This window comes from Homo sapiens, chromosome 3 (genome assembly GCF_000001405.40).
Source record: "Homo sapiens chromosome 3, GRCh38.p14 Primary Assembly".
NCBI classification, from domain to species: Eukaryota; Metazoa; Chordata; class Mammalia; order Primates; family Hominidae; genus Homo; species Homo sapiens.
Genome location: NC_000003.12, coordinates 126,108,308 through 126,125,210, shown reverse-complemented (window position 1 = coordinate 126,125,210; position 16,903 = coordinate 126,108,308). Strand labels below are relative to the sequence as shown.

Below are 16,903 nucleotides of genomic sequence, written 5' to 3'. Positions count from 1 at the left end.
GGGTGAGCGGTGGGATTCGTGGTCCCCATCCCTGCACACAGAAGCTACGCAGTGTGGTGTCTGAGAGGTGTAGGTGGGGGAGTAGAGGCGGGATGTCAGGGGTCACCCAGGCATGCTGGGAAGGTCCTTGGGAGTGAGGACATACCCAGTGAGCCTCAGTTTCTCCATCTGTACATTGGCAATGACAGCCTGCCCGCTGCCTGCCTCCCAGGATGGTGCATGACATGGCAGGGATGGTGTGCCCAGGAGGGCACCCACTCGCCAGCTTCTTTGGGGTAATTTCGCGGCAAGGGCATTGATGTAATGAAAAACAATAATGATGGCTGACATTGATAGTATTTACCCTGAGTCAGGCATGCCTCAAGCATTTCAACATGTATCACAAATTAGGTAGTAATTTACATACATTTGCTTATTTAAGCATCACACACAACCCTCTGAGGAGACCTTAACCTCTGGCTTTAGAAACTTATGCTGTGCAGAAGGGAACCCAGGCCTGGCCGGCTGGAGCCCTGCCAGGAGGAGAAGCTAGGGCACCAGATGTTGGCCCACCCTGATTCCCAGCTGGTGCTGTGGGCGCACCGGCTGGGCAGGCAGGGCCCCCTCTGGTGGCTTTCCTGGGGTCTTCCTGGTGCCACAATCTGCAGCTACTCTCCCAGCTTGCTGCTGGGCTGCTGGGAGAGGAAGGCGGGGAGGGAAGGCAGAGCCCCACTTTCAAAAACCTCCTTACCCAGTCTCCTTTCCTGGCCCCACACCCAGGTGACCCCACTCACAGCCTTGAAGTTTGCAGAGCTGACATTAAAGGCCGGCATTCCCAAAGGTGTGGTTAACGTCCTCCCAGGATCTGGTAAGAGCCATTGTCGGGGGCAGGGCTAGGGCTTCTGGCAGCTGGAGATGCCATTGGGCAGAGCAGGCCCTACTGGATAGTGGCGTGAGGGCAGAGTAGCCTGGGGAGAGCCCAGGCGGGGGCCAGCCTGTGACAAAGGAGGCCCCTCCCATGGGGGAGAGCACCTGCACCTGGAAGGGCTTTCGTCTTCAGATGCCCCAGCTGAATGTATTCCAGTGTGTGTGTGTGTGTGTGTGTGTGTGTGTGTGTGTGTCCGCGCGCCCTGGAATAAACTTGTTACTTGGGGATTTTCTGCCCTTGGAAGTTTGAGAGAATTTTTCTTTAGAACATTTCAGGCTTAAAGCATTTAGGGAGGTCATACATGAATCACTTTTTAAGTTTTTGTTGTGTTTAGTTGTCTAGTTTATGGAAAAGTCTCTTCTTGTGCAGATTTCAAATGTATTAGCATGAAGTTGTATATAATAATCTCATAATTTTTATCTCCTTTTTGGATTTTCCTTTTGATTGTTGTAATACATTCTTTATATTTTTCCTTTTTCTCTCTCTTTTTAAGTTGATTAAATTGGTGAAAAGTTATTGCTTGTTTGTCTCCATCCTCCACTCTAAAAAAATCAAATACAGCTCCTGGATTTCCTTACCTTTTCCATGGCTATTTTTATAGTTTCCCCCTTGCTTTTATTATTCCCTTGTGTGTTCTCCTGAGTGGTTCTTCTATTTTTTTTTTTTTTGCAGCTTTTTGGGTTGAAAATTTAGTTCAGTTTTTTTCTAGTTCAAATAAGGAAAGCATTTGAAAAAGTTTTGGTGATGGCCAGGCGCAGTGGCTCACACCTGTAATCCCAGCACTTTGGGAGGCCGAGGTGAGTGGATCACCTGAGGTCAGGAATTCAAGACCAGCCTGGCCAACATGGTGAAACCCCGTCTCTATTAAAAATACAAAAATTAGCTGGGCATGGTGGCAGGCGCTTGTAACCCCAGCTACTCTGGAGGCTGAGGCAGAAGAATCGCCTGAACCTGGGAGGTGGAGTTTGCAGTGATCCGAGATTGTGCCACTGCACTTCAGCCTGGGTAACAGAGCGAGACTCTGTCTCAAAAAAAAAAAAAAAAAAGAGTTTTGGTGATACCTCACACCTTGTGACTGACACTTTTATCATTCATTATAAATGCCCCTGTTTATCTTTCATGATCGTTTTTGTGTTAAAGTCAATTCTGTCTTAGTATTACTACACTGGCTTTCAAATGGTTGCTGTTGACATGATATATATTTTTACATTTTTTTACTTTCAACCCATTCATACTTTTGAATCTAAAATGTGCCTCCATATATAACATATAGTCAGATCTTGTTTTTTATCCAGTCTCATAATCTCTGCCTTTTGACTGGAGACTTTACATTAAATATTGATACAGTGGGTTTACCATTTTACTTTTCATTTTCTATGAATCTCCTGTCTTTTTTCCCTCTGTTTCTCCTGCTGTACTACTTTCTTTTGCATTAAGCAAATATTTCCTAGCATAACATTTTAATGCTTTCAATAATTATTTTCAGTATACATTTTTAGTTATTTTCTTAGTGGTTACTCTAAGACTTATCATATACTTATCAAAATCAACTTCAGATTTATACGAACTTAATCCCAGTGAAATGTACAAATGTTACTTCTGGATAGGTCTGTTATCTTCTCCCTGTTTGTGCTAGGATCATGTATTTTTGTACACATATAACATCTATATATGTTACAAACCCAATAATATATTGCTATATATATTACTTAATTTTACACCTACTAAAGAAGTTGAGAAAAGAAAGGAGAACAAGTCCCTATGTGCAGAGTTTATATGTTATCTGACTCACAAGTTCTGGTCCTCTTCAGCTGGTCCTATGGATTTGAGCTACTATCTGGTGTCATTTCCTTACTCCATTTAAGTTTTATTCCCACCTACCTCCTTTCTGCTTTTATTGTCCAATATGTTAGATTTCTATTTGTTACCCCACAATTATACAATTATGTATATAATCATTTTACACAATCGCTTTTTAAATCAGTTAAGAAAGCAAATAAAATATGCATTGATACTGTATTTTATAATTACCTAATTACCTTTACAGTGCTCCTTGCTTTTTCCTGTGGATTCTGACTACTGTCTGTAGTCACTTGCCTTCAGCTTGAAGAACTTCTTTTAGTATTTCCTGTAAGGTGGGTCTGCTAACAACAGATGATCTGTTTTTGTTTATCTGGCAATATCCTTATTTGCCTCTGCTTTTTGAAACACAGTATTGCTAGATGTAAGATTCTGGGTTGACACTCTTGTTCTTTCTTTGCACTTGTTCTGCCTTGCAGTTTGAATACAGTCATGTACTGTCTTCTCCATCTGGCACACCTGAGGTAGAGTCTTCCCCTTATGAGTGCGGTCTGGGTGGAGGAAAGGGCCCCAGCATCTTAGCCATAGTCACCAAGAACTTAGCTTCTGCAACTGAGAGTTGGCAGAAATGAGAGGGCTTGGTGGCCTGCACCTCCTGGTGGATGCCAGCTTCCTTCGCTGGGAGCTGAGAAGGAAAGAAGCGCTGCCTTCCTGGCCACACCTGCCTGGAGTGGAGCTTCCCTCAAGGGGAGGGAGCAGACTGTGCCTTCAGTGCTACAGATATTCCCTGCTCTTACTGAGAGTCAGATTTTCTTGAAGAATGTTTCTCCATTTGTCGTATGCCCTTAGAAGAATTTCCAGGGAGTTTAAGTGGTTGTTTTTAGATCATCTTCACCAGGATAGTGGTTTCCCTGGGGAATTGTCCGCAGGGCTCCTCAAGCTGGCCTTCCAGAAATGCACTCCTGCCTCATGCCTTTTGAGCAGGTTGTGTTCATGTTTTTATTACTCTTAAATATCATATAGTTGTAGTTTTGGTCTTCTCTCTAACCCAGTAAGTAAAAAGAGATTTAAAAACAATTGCCAAGTTGTTTTTTTGTCTAAAATTTAAAATTCCGTTCTTATATTTCTAATTGTATTATGTCATGATCAGAGACTATGGCCTGTATGTGAGTTTGCCAGGGCTGCTGTCACCAAGCACTGCAAACCGAGTGGCATAAACCACTGCAAGGCAGCGCCGCGCAGCTCTGGAGGCTACGAGTCTGGATGGAAGGTGTTAGCAGGGCCATGCTCCGTCTAAAAGGTTCTAGGGAAGACTAATTCTTTGCCTCCTCCTAGCTTGTAGAAGCATCATCCCGATCTGTGCTTTCATCTTGACACGGCATTTCCCTGAAGATGTGGTGTCTGTGCCCAAATCTCCCATTTTTATAAGAACACTGGTCATTTTGGATCAGGGCCCACCCCAGTGACCTCATCTTAACTAATTTTACCTGTACTGACTTCATCCCCAAATAAGGCCACATTGTGAGGTACTGGGGGTTAGGATGGTGACCTATGAATTTCTAGTGAGTGGTTGGGGGAGGCACAGTCCAACACATAACAGCTTGTAAAAATTTTGTTTTCTAAAATGGAGAATTTTCGTGGTCTGATATATGATACCTTTTTGCAAATATTTCTTAAATAGCCTAAGAGAGTGTTGTTATTTTTATTACTATTATTATTATTACTAGTAAATAGACTTGATTTTAGAGCAGTTTTAGGTTGATAGCAAAATTGAGCAGAAAGTACAGAGTCCCTATACACCACCTGCCCCCACACAGACACAGCCCTCCACTACTAATATCCAGCACCAGAGGAGTATGTTTGTTACAAACAATGACCTACATTGACACCTCATTATCCCCCGAAGTCCGTAGTTTAGGGGTCACTCTTGGGTTGTACATTCCATGGGTTTTGACAACTGTGTAATCCCTTGCATCTACCATTAGAGTGTAACACAGAGTAGTTTCACTGCTGTGCTATACCTTTTATCTCTTCCTCTGTCTAATCCCTGGCAACCAGTGATCTTTTTCTTGTCTCCATCGTTATGCCTTTTCCAGAATGTCATGTAATTGCAATCATATGCGGGCTTTTCATTTGGCTTCTTTCACTTAGTGATATGTATTTGAGGTTCTTCCATGGCTTCTTGTGACTTAATAGCTCATTTCTTGTTAGCACTGAATAATTTCCCTTGTCTGATTCACATCAGTTACTTATCCATCCACTTTCTGAAGGACGTCTTGGTAACTTCCAAGTTTTGGCAATTCTGAGTAAAGCTGCCGTAAACATTCGTGTGCAGGTTTTGGTGTGGACGTAAGTTTTCAACTCCTTCGGGTAAATATCAAGGAGCACAGTTGCTGGATCATATGGTAACAGTGCATTTGGTTTTTAAACTGACTGCTAAACTGTCTTCCCGACTGGCTGTGCCATTTTGCGTTCCCGCAGCAATGACTGAGAGTTCCTGTTGCTCCACATCCATCCCAGCATCTGGCATCATCAGTGTTGTGGATTTTTGTTGTTTAGTAGCTGTGCAGTGGTATCTCATTGCTGTTTTAGTCTTTTATTCTCTAATGACAAATGACATTGCGCACTGTTTCAGGTGCTTACTTGCCATCTGTCTGTCTTCTTTGGTGATGTGTCTATTTCTGTCTTTTGCCCAGTTTTTAGTGGTTGTTTGTTTTCTTATTGTTGAGTTTTGAGAGTTCTTTGTATATTTTGGACACCTGTTCTTTGTCAGATATATCTTTTGCAAACGTTTTCTCCCCAAAACAGTGATTTAATGGGGAGTGGTGGAATGGAGTTAGTATCAAAATCACTGGTAGAGCTTTAACTGTATATAGAGGGAGGATACAAGGGTCTTATTCCAAACCTGCCAAACTGGAACCTTCATGGGCGTGCCTGGGCATGTGAATTTTACAAGCCTGGAGGCAGGGGAGTGGTGGAAGATGGAGGGACTGGATAGGTGCAGGAGCTCTGGACTGAGCGAGTCATGGGATGGAAAAGGGAGGTGTCAAGAATGACTCTTGGGTTCTTGGATTGAACCAAATGGCTGCCAGGAGAAGTTGTTTACTGAAATGGAGAACCCTGGAGGAAGAGCAGGTCTAGGTGAACGATTAAGAGTTCAGTTTCAAATATGTTGAATTTGAGAAGCCAGAAGACATCCAAGTGCAGATGCCAAGCAGGCAGAGGAGTGACCAATGGATCTGAATCCCAGAGGAGTTTGGCTGGAGAGGCCGATTTGGTTGGGGGGTGACATACCTGAAGATGGCCCTTGGAAGCCTGTGAGATCAGCTGAGCACGCAATGTAAGCTGAGGAGAGAAGAGGGCCTGGTACAGAGCCAGAGGTGCTGGGTATTTTAAGGTTAGGTGAGAAAGGAGATGGAAAAAGAGCCGTCAGAGAAGTAAGAGTCGAATTAGGAGGGTGCAGAGTCAGAAGCCAAAACAAGATAATGGCTTAAGTGGGGAGCTACGCTGAGTCTGGGAGGAGGCAGCGTCAGGGAGCCCACTCTGAAGTCTCGTTGAGATGGAGACCTGAGGGACAGAGAGGACTTAGCCAGGTTGGGGACAGGGTTTGTGCAGGGCGTGGCTCGGAGTAGGGGCTGGGGGCGTGGGACGGGGCAGGAATCACGGCATTCCCTGGGAGGAACAGCAGGTGGCAAGGCCTCTGTGGCTGGCTCACCTGAGGGCGGGTGTTTTGGAGTCTATGATGCTTAGGATGCCACATCCTCGGGGACCTGATCAGGCATCCTTGGGTCTCTGTTCGAGCCCCTGCAAGAGCTGAAGGTTTGGTGCCCTCACCTTGGGGTCTGCCTGATGGTGAAAAGCCATGTGGGGAGTGGGTTGATTTGCTTGGGCTACCATGTCAAAGCTCCGCAGACTGGGGCTTCAGAAACAGATGGTTATCATCTCTCAGTTCTGGAGGCTGGAAGTCCAAGATCAGGGTGTCAGCAGCGTCAGCTTCTCCTGCAGCCTCTCTCCTGGGCTTGCAGACGGCTCTCCACCCTCTATGTCCTCGCATGGTCATTGCCCAAATCTCCTCTTCTTAGAAGGACACCAGTCAGATTGGATTAGGGTCCATCTCAATGACCTCATTTTGCCTTAATCACCTATGTAAAGGCCACATCTCCAAACACAGTCCCATTCAGAGGTACAGGGGATGAGGGTTTCAGCATTTGAATTTTAGGGGACACAGTTCAGCCCCTAATAGGGAGCGAGGCTCCATGAGCCCCAGGCACCATGGGGATCAAGCATGTGGGGAGCATTTTGAGGGCCTCAGACCCCCAGTGAACCTGTGCAGTCCTGGAGGTGGGCTCCTGCCTCCCCAGCACCAGGGGGACCACTCTGATTCCCCCCTCCCTCCCGCCCACAGGCTCCCTGGTCGGCCAGAGACTCTCAGACCATCCTGATGTGAGGAAAATCGGGTTCACAGGCTCCACAGAGGTGGGCAAGCACATCATGAAAAGGTGCGTGGCTGGGGGTGGAGCAGAGGAGGGGCTGCTGTGGGCTGCGCCTGGGACATGGCAGTGCTGTCCCAGGAGCTGTGTCCTGCTTCCCAGGCTCCAGGGCACAGCCACTTCCGTGGCCCTGCTGGGCTCTATGCAAACGCTGAAGAGGCATCTGCCTTTCTGGCAAAGCCCCGGGGAGGCCTGGGCGGAGACCTGTGGAGCCCTGTCAGACCAGCAAGGGGCTGGATCGAGAGGTGCTGAGAGTATAAAACACGCATGGATTTCAAGAACTGAGCACCCACAAAAAAGTGAAATAGCTCATTAATAGGATGTTTGGGGTTTTTTTTTGTTTTGTTGTTGTTTTTTTTTTTGAGACAGGGTCTTGATCTGTCACTCATGGTGGAGTGCAGTGGCACCATCATAGCTCACTGTAGCCTTGACTTCCTGGGCTCAAGTGATGCTCCTCAGCCTCCCAAGTAGCTGGGACTACAGGCATGCACCACCAAGCCCAGCTAATTTTTTGTGTTTTTCATAGAGATGGGGTCTCATGGTGTTGCCCAGACTGGTCTCAAACTCCTGGGCTCAAGCAATCCACCTGACTCGGCCTCCCATCTCCGTGCTGGGATGACTGACGTGAGCCACTGTGCTCTGCCTTCATTAAGTTTTTATATTGATTTCAAGTTGAAATGATAATATTCTTGATTAGTTGGGTTAAATAAAATATAATAAAATATACTATTAGGATTAATTTCACCTGCTTCTTTTCAGGTTTTTTTTTTTTTTCAATGGAGTCTCACAGTGTCACCCAGGCTGGAGTGCAGTGTCGTGATCATGGCTGCAGCCTCTGCCTCCCTGGCTCATGCGATCCTCCTACCTTAGCCTCCTGAGTAGCTGGGACTACAGACACGTGCCACCATACCTGGATAAGTTTTTAAATTTTTTGTAGAGATGGGGTTTTGCTATGTTGCCCAGCCTGGTCTCGAACTCCTTTAATGTGGCTACCATCAAAAAAAGTCCCATTGTCTATGTGGCTACTGTTTGAAGCTTTCATTCTATTTCTATGGACAGAAGTGATCTAGGTCAACTCATGTCTTCATCCTTGGACTTTGGCCTCAAATTGACTGGTGTCATCTCCCAGACTCTGTCACTAAACCACAATATGACCTGGGCCACACCCATGCCTTGGGTCCCCCACCAGTTCCATTACAGCAGTTTGATAGTGCAGGGGTTCTGGTCTCCATCACTGACAAGCTGGGAGAGCCAGCCAGGGCCAGACCACAGGTGGAGCCCTGACTGACACTGGAGCCTGCCCCAGCCCTGACACTGAACTTCTGGGGGTGGGTTTTGGCACCTGCACTTTGAGTGACGTGGGTAGGGGAATGGGGTAACTGCAAGTAGTCACTGCAGGTTTGCCTCTCCTAATTCAAAAGCTAGCTGGTCTCTTCCTCTGAGGTGTGTAGGTTGTAGCCATGTCTGAGCACATGTGAGTCAAGTCCAGGGTGAGGGCTCAGGAAATGTCAGCTCTGAGCACTCCAGAGCTGGACAGAGGGTTTGGGGGGCAAGATATGTTGATCTGCCTCACCATGGTAACCATTTTACCATCAATATGTAGTTCATGCTATAACCAGGCATGTGGTGGCACGTGCCTGTAGTCCCAGCTACTCGGGAGGCTGAGGTGGAAGAAGCCTGGGACACGGAAGCTAAATGAGCCGAGATCACGCACTGCACTCCAGCCTGGGCAACAAAGAAAGCCTGGCTCAAATAAATAAATAAATAAATAGAACAGAACAAAAAAAAAAGTACCTCAATTTGAACATTTTATTTAAAAAAATAAATACTAGGCTGGGCATGGTGGCTCACACCTGGAATCCCAGCACTTTGGGGAGACTGAGGCCAGCTGGTCACTTGAGGCCAGGAGTTTGAGACCACCCTGGCCAACATGGTGAAACCCCATCTCTACAAAAAATACAAAAAAAAAAAAAAATAGCCAGGTGTGGTGGTATATGCCTATATTCCCAGCTACTCTAGAGGCTGAGGCAGGAGAATCGCTTGAATCCGGAAGGCGGAGGTTACAGTAAGCTGAGATCACACCACTGTACTCCAGCCTGGGCAACAGAGTGTGACTCTATCTCAAAGGAAAAAAAAAAAGGCTGGGTGCTGTGGCTCATGCCTGTAATCCCAGCATTTTGGGAGGCCGAGGTGGGCAGATCACCTGAGGTCAGGAGTTCAAGACCAGCCTGACCAACATGGTGAAACCCCGTCCCTACTGAAAATACAAAAATTAGCCGGGCGTGGTGGCACGTGCCTGTAATCCCAGCTACTCGGGAGGCTGAGGTAGAAGAATCGCTTGAACCCGGGAGGTGGAGGTTGCATGAGCCAAGATCATGCCATTGCACCCCAGCCGGGGTGACAAGAGTGAGACTCCATCTAAAAACAAAACAAAACAAAACAAAACAAACAAACAAAACTAAAAAACGAAATCATGCTATGAACCTCAAATATACACAGTAAAATTTATTAAAAAAAAAAAAAAAAGAAGAGCAAAGCAGAGCTCTGAGCAGCTTCCTGCCCCAGCATCCCTGGTTCTGCTGCTTTCTTCTTCCCAGGCAGCCGTGTCACACAGACCTGCAGCTGAGATGGGTGCCATCTCCCTGGGTTGCTTCTGCAGAGGAGGCCTCTCCTCCCCAGTGGAGCCTCCTACCTGCCGGCTATTGACTGAGTGTCCAGCTGAGGACAGCATCCCTGCAGTGCATTTCTTGCCCACTGATGTGATGTGTTCATGACTCCCAGCCTCTCTGTTTGCTCTGCCACTAATACAAGGAGGTGCCCCAGCCTCTGGGCCCCTGCAGCTGTGCCAGCGGATGGTGCTGTTTTGTATTCCTTAATTTGTGCAGCACCAGCTGCGTGCAGGCACTGTGCTTGGCACCGGGGCTGTAATAGGACCCAGACAGATGCGTGCCTGCCCTGGCCAGGCTCATGCTCTGCAGGTGGGGTCAGAGGTCAACATGCAGTAGAGGAAAGGACAGCAGATGGGGTGCACAGGCAGGCTGTGGTTTTATACGGGGCGATCAGGGAGGCACCCCAGAGAAGGGAACACAGGCCTGCAGGAAATGAGGTGTGGAGTGGGCAGCAGGAAGGGCAGTCCAGGGGGCAGTGGGGCACAGGCCTGGTGTGTACAGGCCAGAAAGGAAAGGCAGGTGGCCGTGTGAAGCCGCAAGGGGTGGGGGGGAGTGGGGAGGCACTGGCCGGGTCTTGCTTCTTGCAGCAAAGCATGCTTTGGGCCTACCCAGGTCCCTGCCACCTGGGGTCCCAATGCCCCTACCTGCCCTGGAGGGACCGGCCCCACCAGCCCTCTGTTCCTTGCAGCTGTGCCATAAGTAACGTGAAGAAGGTGTCCCTGGAACTGGGCGGGAAGTCACCCCTCATCATCTTTGCTGACTGTGACCTCAACAAGGCTGTGCAGATGGTGAGGGCCGGGCCTGGAGGGGGCAGGGACAGTGAGCGGGAACAGGGACTGTAGGGACCAGGAGGCCCTGTCTCTGATTCCACAGCCACACTCACACGTGTAGCCCTGGTGGAGTCCATAGCGTCATCACAAGCATAGCGTGGCAGGCAGCAGGCTTAGGGAAGAATGACGTGTGCCCTCCAAACATACTTCCCAAGAAGTTTCATAGCTGCCAGGATAGCTGAGATCAACTGCCTATAACATATGTGTGTGTGTGTATTACATATAAATATGAAATTGGGAAACACACGCCACAGCTCCATCTGTTCTGAAATAAACATTGCAGCCTTTTCTGTCTGATGAGAGGGCAAATCAGATGTGTTGATCTGCTTCACTATGGTAACCATTTTACCATCTATATGTAATCCATAACTTCATGCTGTAAACCTCAAATATACACAATAAAATGTGTGTTTTTAAAATAAAAGAGCAAAGCAGAACTCTGAGCACTTGGGCCCAGCCCTGCTGACAGTGACCCTCTACCGGTGGCCGTGGGTGCAGTGCCTGGCTCCACCACTGACTTAGTGGGCAGCCTTGAGCAAGTTACCTAACCTCTGTGGCGTCTGTGCTCCCACCTGTGGATAGGGACCATGGTGATACCCACCTCCCGGGTGGCTGCAGAATGAATATGTCTGAAGGGCTTAGGTTAGTGGCAAGTGCCACTTGAGACATGTGTCAGTCCTTGTTCTCACCATTAGTATTGTTGTTGCCTTGGTCCTGTCCTGACTCCTGTGGGAGCAAACCAGTAAGACCATGTTCAGCCAGGTCCCCAAATATGCCCCCGGCCCTATCTAAGTTCCACTGTGCCGTGGAGGGTGGCCTAACACCCTAGCTTGGGTGTGAAAGGGAGTCCAACCTCATTTGGTGGAGAAACTGAGGGAGGCAAGGGCCTTGTTCACGGGCCCGGGTGAACCCATCAGCACGGGGATCTAGCTGGGCCCTGTGCTGAGCTGGAGGTCGGGGCCCTGTCATTGGCTGTGCAGTCCCAGGTTCCAGGAGAGCCAGGCTTGACCATGGCTCTCCGTCCTCCCCTGGGTCTCCCACAGCAGGCGAGTTTGAAAAAGCAGGCTGCCTGGGGCCTCTGAGGGCCTTTGTTCTGGACTCCTGCCAGGAGTTCCCTGGGCCAGGGCTGCCCCACCTCTCACCCACCCATGTCGGGGCTGCCTGCCTGTGTCCCACCCTCTGCCCTGTCACCCACCGCCTGCTCCATGCTTACACACACGGCTGGCATCTCTCCTGTCAGCTCCCAAGAGTGTAGACTCTGAAACAGGAGTCGGCACCTCCTGGGCCGCCCCAGTGAGCCACCCAGGGTGCAGGAGGGTCTCAGGCAGGCCAAGGCTCACTCCCACTTGGTCCCCATGCTCTGCAGTGTGGATGGCAGCCTTATCCTCCAGTGGTGGGAGTTGGGGCGTGGTGTCTCTCTGTCACTGCATGGGCCTCAGCGTCTTCACTTCCCACACAGTTACCTCTCACCTCTCCTCTTGAGGTGACTGAGGATTGAGTGGGGCCCACAGGAGGAGATCAGGACACATGGGTGCCTCCTTTCCTAATTAGAAGAGGCGGCTGGGCCCTGGCAGAGCCGGGGGCTGGTGTCCCAGGAGGAGCAGTGACCTGGTGTTCTTGTCCATTCTCTGAAGGGGATGAGTTCTGTTTTCTTCAACAAAGGAGAGAATTGCATTGCAGCAGGCCGACTCTTTGTGGAGGACTCCATTCATGATGAGTTCGTGCGGAGAGTGGTAAGTCCTGCCCCAGGGTCTGCGGGCGGCTGGTTCACTGGGACAGCAGCGCCTGGCTGGAGGGGGTTGGAGGAGGGGAGACAGGGCAGGGTCAAGTGAGGCTGGGCTCCTCCTGGAGGACACTCCCCCCGGGGGTCAGGGAACCCACAGCGGGAGCTGTGCTGAGTCTTCACTGGATTTTATTATTTCACCAAGAAATAGCAGACCTGTAGCAAAACTGACATCACCAAAAAGGGCCCATCTTGGGTTGGTCCCCTAGAAATAGAGCCTGGGGCAAGAATTCAGTGCAGGTGATTTACTCAGAGTGGACTCTTGGGTGAAGCCTGGAAAGAGAAGAGACCAGGGGAGGACTGGACAGAATGGAGCAAGAGCCTGGTCTCAGGTCAGCCTGGGCCTGACCATGGACAGGGGCCCTGGAGCACGAATCCCCCTACACAGGCATACCCCTGGAGCCAAGTGGCCAGGCTGTGGGCCCCTGTGGCAGGTAGGCTTGGCTGTGGGCCGCCAGCAGGGGAGAGTAGCTCCCGTCAGGCTCTGCAGCCACCTTGCATGGCCTCGGGGATCTGGTGGGCACAGGACAGTGTCTCCCACCAGATTTATCCACTCAGCCACACCTGGAAGAGCAGGCTTGATGCTGGCCTCGGGACAGATGGGCCATCCTGAGTCCCCTTGGGAGGTTTGTAATGCCTGGCTTCTCAGTTCCTCAGCGGGTTGGCTTCATCCTCTCCAAGCAGCTCGGATATGGTGGGAGTATGGGGCTGATGGCACCAGCATTACCTTCTCACCACATGGTGCCAGAGTGGGACATGACTCCTTCCTCACCACCTCTGTTAGAAAACACTGTGGGGTTGACACGAGCCAGGCCTCAGCCATCCTTCATCCAGGCCATGATACCAGGGGGGGAGCAAGCTGAGGTTGGCTTAGCTTCCGCGAAGAGCACCGCCCCCCACCGCCCCTAGGTTGTGGAGAGCAGCATCTAATCCCAGTGGATAGTGGCAGGGATGCGGGAGAAACAGCCAGCAACCGCCACACATGGTTTCAGAGAGATGGTACCTGGGAAACCAGGGAAAAAGACGGCCTATGAGCAGAGGGGTGAGGGAGGGGCCCCTGGAGGAGAGCTGGTGCTGGACCTGGGGAGGTGGCTCAGAGTCCGGAAGCAGTGGGAAAAGGAAGGACTTTCTAGGACGGGCTAGAACAGTTTTTGCCATATAACGACCCTCAACACGGAGTGGCTGGAAATGAAGCCCTGCCCTCAGCTCATGTTTCTGTGGGCAGCAGTGGCAGTCTAGGCTGGGGTTTGTTGGGGCTCATCTGGGTTTGTCAGAGCTTGCCCAAACATCTGCAGTGAGACTCAGGGGCAGCGGGGCAGCGGGTGGCTTCGTGGGACAGCTGTCGTTGCCCTGGGGGCCTGCATTCTGCAGCGTGTGCTGGGACATGTTCACGTGGACAGTGGAAAGACTCCTAAGAGTGAGAGCACAAGTTGAGAGGCCTCTTGAAATGCACGAAACATTGCTTCCATGCATTGTGCTGCCTAAGCAAGTCACAGGCCGGCCCAGATTCAAGGGGTGAGGAAACAGACTCTACCACGTGATGGGAGGCACAAGCTCATCTTCCATAGTTGGGGAGCTGGCCTGCCCGGCCAAGTGAGGCCCACTGCCACGATGGGCCCGGCACAGGAATAGCAGGACCAGGATACAGACCCAGGGACTACTGGAGATAAAGTGGCGGTCATGGGGGGAGTGTGACTGCGGGGACACAGAGCTGTGCACACAAGGTCCTGTCTGGGGGTCTTAAGGGAGTCATGAGACTTCCACAGAAGGGTGACTGCAAGGGCCAGAGTCCCAGGGATAATTCTCAGGACAGTCACAATCCCAAATAAAGGAAGTGAGGCCAGTGTTCAGGAGGCTCAGTAGGCTGCTTGTTCTTTGTATCCAAGATACAAAGCCATTTGATCGGGGTGCGGTTTGGGGCGACAGGACAGGAGCAGAGAATAAGGAACAAAAGCAACCGGGTTTGGCTACAGGGTGGAGACAGGACAGTCAGAGGCACACAGTGGGCCCTGGTGAGAAGAGCAGAGGGGTGTGCCGGGTGCTCGAGTCACACCTGTGTCTGATTAGGGCTGATTAGGGGTGCAGAGTTTGCAAGATGTGAGATGCCCTGGCCTTGGAGGAGGAGGGTCAGCAGACTAGAGCCTTGGGCCCCTCCCCTTCACTTAATTTCTTTCCCACTTTGGCACCAGGACTATTGCAGCAGGGCTGGTGTATCCCACCTACCGCACATCCTGGAGTCCCCCGGACAAACAGTTCCTTCAGCTTCTTGGTCCATGAGGCTGGTGCAGGACCAGAGTCAGATACGTGTTGTATTGAGCCCCATCTCAACTAGTCAAATATGCCGGCCTCTGTCCTCCTCACCCACACCCCTGTATGTCTCCATTTCCAGCCCATATGTTGCTGGGCTCCTGTCTCCTTGGAGACTTCTGTCCCTCTACACATAGGAGCCATTTGGGATTTCAGCCTGGAAGGTGGATTTAGAGTCAGAATTCAGAAAGCCCTGAGGCTAGAACAGAGTGTGGACTTTCCCCAGGGGTCAGCCATGAGAGCTGAGTCAGGTGAGGATCATTGTCAGAAACTGTGGCAGCACAAGCCACACCTGACTTGGAGGACTTTCTGCAGGTAGAAGAGGTGCGGAAGATGAAGGTGGGCAACCCGCTGGACAGGGACACCGACCACGGGCCGCAGAATCACCATGCCCACCTTGTGAAGCTGATGGAGTACTGCCAGCATGGCGTGAAGGAAGGGGCCACACTGGTCTGCGGCGGGAATCAGGTCCCTCGGCCAGGTGAGTCAGAGTGTGTCAGGTCCGCTTGGGTCAATTGAGGCAGCAGGTCCCATGGCCTCTGGTTCCCTGTCCAGCTGAACTGGAGACATCTGAAGGCCAGGTACCTACACAGTCAGGCTGCAGCCCCATCTGGGACCTGGGATGGACTGGGCTGTGGCTATTTGGGCACCAGCCAGACCCGGGGATGGGACGAGCATTATTCAGTGCTGGTTTATTCAGTATTGAACTGGACTCTGACTTGCCCTTACTGTCACCGCAGCCTTGACAGTCTCTCCCCCATAGATTTCATGAGACTAGATTTTATTATTTTTCCTCTATTTCACTGGCTGTTAACCTCTCAGCCGTTGCTTCACCTGTTCTCTCAATGCAGGTGCATCCCTGCCTATCCTTAGCTTGGAACACCTCTCATGGGGGACTTTTTGCCCGCAGGATCTCTCCCCTGCAGCAGCTCAGACCCTACCAGATACAGGCCTCCAGGCTCCACCCCACCCAGAGCTCCTGACCGCACAGCCAGCGGCACTGGACACTTCCACCTGGATGTCCCCCAGGCCCTTCAAACTCAAAGGTCATTGCAATGTCCCAGCTATAGTTGAGCCCAGACACACACACCTGCTGCTCCAGGACCCTCTGTCTGATCGAGCAGTCCAGGCCAGAAGCGCAGCAGCCACGGGGATGGACCGTTGACGCTGCTGCTGGGGGACAGGTGCCATGACTGTCTTCCTCACCCCTAGCTCCTTTGTGCCTAGACCGGGCCTTGCACAGAGTTGGTGCTCAGTTAATTTGATGGCATGAAGGAGGGAAGGAAAGAAGGAATCCCTGACTCTTCTCTTTCTGTGACCCTCATTTAAATTATTGGCCTGATTCTGTCAAATCTGAGAATTGTCCCACTCTGGGCCTCCTCTGCCTCCCTGACCCTTGTGCGGGCTCCCTACATCTTGCCTCGCTCAGTGTCACAGCAGCCTCCCAAGTGGCCTTGTGAGCCTGCTGATCCTTTATTCACACAGCTGCCAGGGTCTGGTGACCTCTCCTCTGTTAAGACCTTGCAGCAGTGACCCATCCTCCTGCAGTGCAAGTTCGGACTCCTTGACCTCACAGCCGGAGTCCTTCATGATCTGTGCCTGACTTGCCCTTGACCTGTACTGCAGCTGCATTTCATTCTCTCCAGAGGCTTCTCCTGCTTTCTTGGGCTCCATGCATTTGCTGCTGCTCGGCTTAGTGGAGGCTTTCCAGTGTCCCCACCTGGAGAGCTCCTGCTTCTTCAGCTCACAGGACATCCAAGCCCGGGCATGCCCGTGTCACAGGGCATCGGGCACCGCACACCTCAACAGAGCTCTCGTGACCATTGCACTGCTGCTGTCACTGTCCACTTACCCTCTTCCCACTCCCGCTGGACTGTGAGTTCCATGAGGCAGGTGGGGTTGGGGGAGCATCACCAGGACCCTTGCAGTGCAAGGATGGCCGGGTTCAGGATTGGTGGAAGACAGTGTGATGGAGGCCTTGTACCAGGAGCAGGGCTAGGGAGCCAGCAAGGGGTAGAGCAGCACCCAGGAACCAGGAACAGTGGGGAGCCATCACCCCGCCCTGGAGGGGGTATGAGAAGGAACAGAATTCCTGCAGCCCAGTGAGGGGCAGAGCA

At 50.8% G+C, this 16,903-nt stretch overlaps 1 protein-coding gene across 9 annotated transcripts in view, besides 1 other annotated feature; it reads left to right on the top strand.

The window, feature by feature from the left end:
* ALDH1L1 (aldehyde dehydrogenase 1 family member L1) overlaps positions 1-16,903 on the top strand; it is a 94,376-nt gene that overhangs the window by 72,735 nt on the left and 4,738 nt on the right. For 8 of the 9 annotated variants that reach the window (XM_024453325.2, XM_011512355.2, XM_017005613.3 and 5 more), the window contains 5 exons: positions 760-847; positions 7,113-7,206; positions 10,555-10,654; positions 12,331-12,429; positions 15,102-15,267. In XM_024453325.2, coding sequence (XP_024309093.1) covers positions 760-847; positions 7,113-7,206; positions 10,555-10,654; positions 12,331-12,429; positions 15,102-15,267 — 547 coding nt within the window. The remainder of the gene's footprint in view (positions 1-759; positions 848-7,112; positions 7,207-10,554; positions 10,655-12,330; positions 12,430-15,101; positions 15,268-16,903) is intronic. The other variant, NR_072979.2, reaches the window with a different exon arrangement.
* Positions 11,933-12,447: an enhancer, noted in NCBI's record as "H3K4me1 hESC enhancer chr3:125831607-125832121 (GRCh37/hg19 assembly coordinates)". NCBI's record gives its function as "activates a minimal SCP1, AML or CMV promoter by ChIP-STARR-seq in primed H9 embryonic stem cells {active_cell/tissue: H9 hESC(primed)}" and the evidence as "EXISTENCE:reporter gene assay evidence [ECO:0000049][PMID:30033119]".